At 58.2% G+C, this 1,531-nt stretch overlaps 1 annotated feature.

The window, feature by feature from the left end:
• Window positions 481–530: an enhancer, noted in NCBI's record as "active region_29285". NCBI's record gives its function as "activates an Ori minimal core promoter by ATAC-STARR-seq in GM12878 lymphoblastoid cells {active_cell/tissue: GM12878}" and the evidence as "EXISTENCE:reporter gene assay evidence [ECO:0000049][PMID:35858748]".

Here is a 1,531-nt window from a genome sequence, read left to right as displayed (position 1 = left end):
CACACAGTAGGTGCTCACAGACGCCCCTCTGACACCCAGGCAAGGAGTCACACACAGTAGGTGCTCACAGGCGCCCCCTGACACCCAGGCAAGGAGTCACACACAGTAGGTGTTCACAGACGCCCCTCTGACACCCAGGCAAGGACCAACACACAGTAGGTGCTCACAGGCGACCCTCCTGACACTCAGGTAAGGACTCACACACAGTAGGTGCTCACAGGCGACCCTCTGACTCCTAGCCCAGGACCTGCATGCAGCAGGTGCTCAACACACACCACTGAATGAACAGAAAGCATCACTGGGGAAGGCCCTTGGTATAGGAGACAGAGGAAGTGTCCTGGCCCCCGCTCAGCGGCAGGCGGGTGGGACCCCAGCTCTGCTGCACCCCGTCATCAGGCACAGGGCTGGCGGTAGGACTGTCGGGTCACCTGGGCTCCTATCTGCCCCTGAGTTCTCCACAGCCTGGGAGAAGATGGCTCACCCCCATCATCCCTGGTCCATGACCTAGTAGAGTGGGAGTCCCAAGGAGGCTTGCTATAGGGCAACTTCAATTTCCAGCAGCTGCCTGACCACTGGCACCCCAAGCCCCAGGCCCGCTGTCGCACGGAGGGCTCACGGAACCCCCATTGACTTCCGGTAGCTCAACACCTCTCTATCCAGCACCTATCCAACCAGAAGTCAAGTCCCATCCACACTAGCAGGGCACAAGTCTAGTGGAGCAGGGTGTTTGTCCAGGCAGTCATACTTGATATACTGGTGCTGCGGCAGAGTGGGGGTGGGTAGTATGGAGAGGGGTGCTGCTGAAATGGGGAGAAGGGACATGCAGCCAGCCTCAGGGCATCCTGACAGCCTGCCCCAGCCTGAGCGGAGAGTGTTTCCCAGGAGATGAACCAGAGCCCTGGGAAGAGGGGCTGAGTTTCCCAAGGGGCCACCCATGCAGGGCCAGGCTTTCCCCCTACAGCACGTGCAGGGATGTGGGAGGGATGGTGATTCCATCATCCCACACCATCTATCCTGGGAACTTCCTGGAGAAAGGGGCAACCATGGGTGGGTGTGGTCGGCTGGATATGCCCATGACCTAATCTCTGAAACTGAGGATGTGATCTTATAGGACAGAGGGGACCTCGCAGCTGTGATGAAGGATTTTGAGATGGGAGATTAACCCGGTTCATCTAGGTGGGCCCGGGGCAGTCACAGTGCTCCCCGTAGGAGAGAGACAGGAGGATTGGAGGAGTCTGAATTAGGAAGTGATGGGCCACAGAAGTGGAGGTTGGAGGGTGTGCTTTGAGGACAGAGGAAGGGGCCACAAGCCAAGGAAGGCAGGAGGCCGCTAGAAGCTGGAAAAGGCAGGGTTGCGGATTCTCCCCCAGAGCCTCTGGGAGGAGCCAGTCCTGCCAGCTGGCAATTTGACTTCCCCTCCATGAGACTGACTGTGAACTTCCAGCCCCCAGATCCGTGAGAAAATAAACTGTATTGTTTTGAGCCATTACACAGGGGGGTCATTTGTCACAGTGGCAGCAGGACACCCGTA

The sequence above is a fragment of the Homo sapiens genome, chromosome 9, assembly GCF_000001405.40.
Source record: "Homo sapiens chromosome 9, GRCh38.p14 Primary Assembly".
Classification (NCBI taxonomy): domain Eukaryota; kingdom Metazoa; phylum Chordata; class Mammalia; order Primates; family Hominidae; genus Homo; species Homo sapiens.
This window is presented reverse-complemented; position numbering and strand designations above follow the sequence as displayed.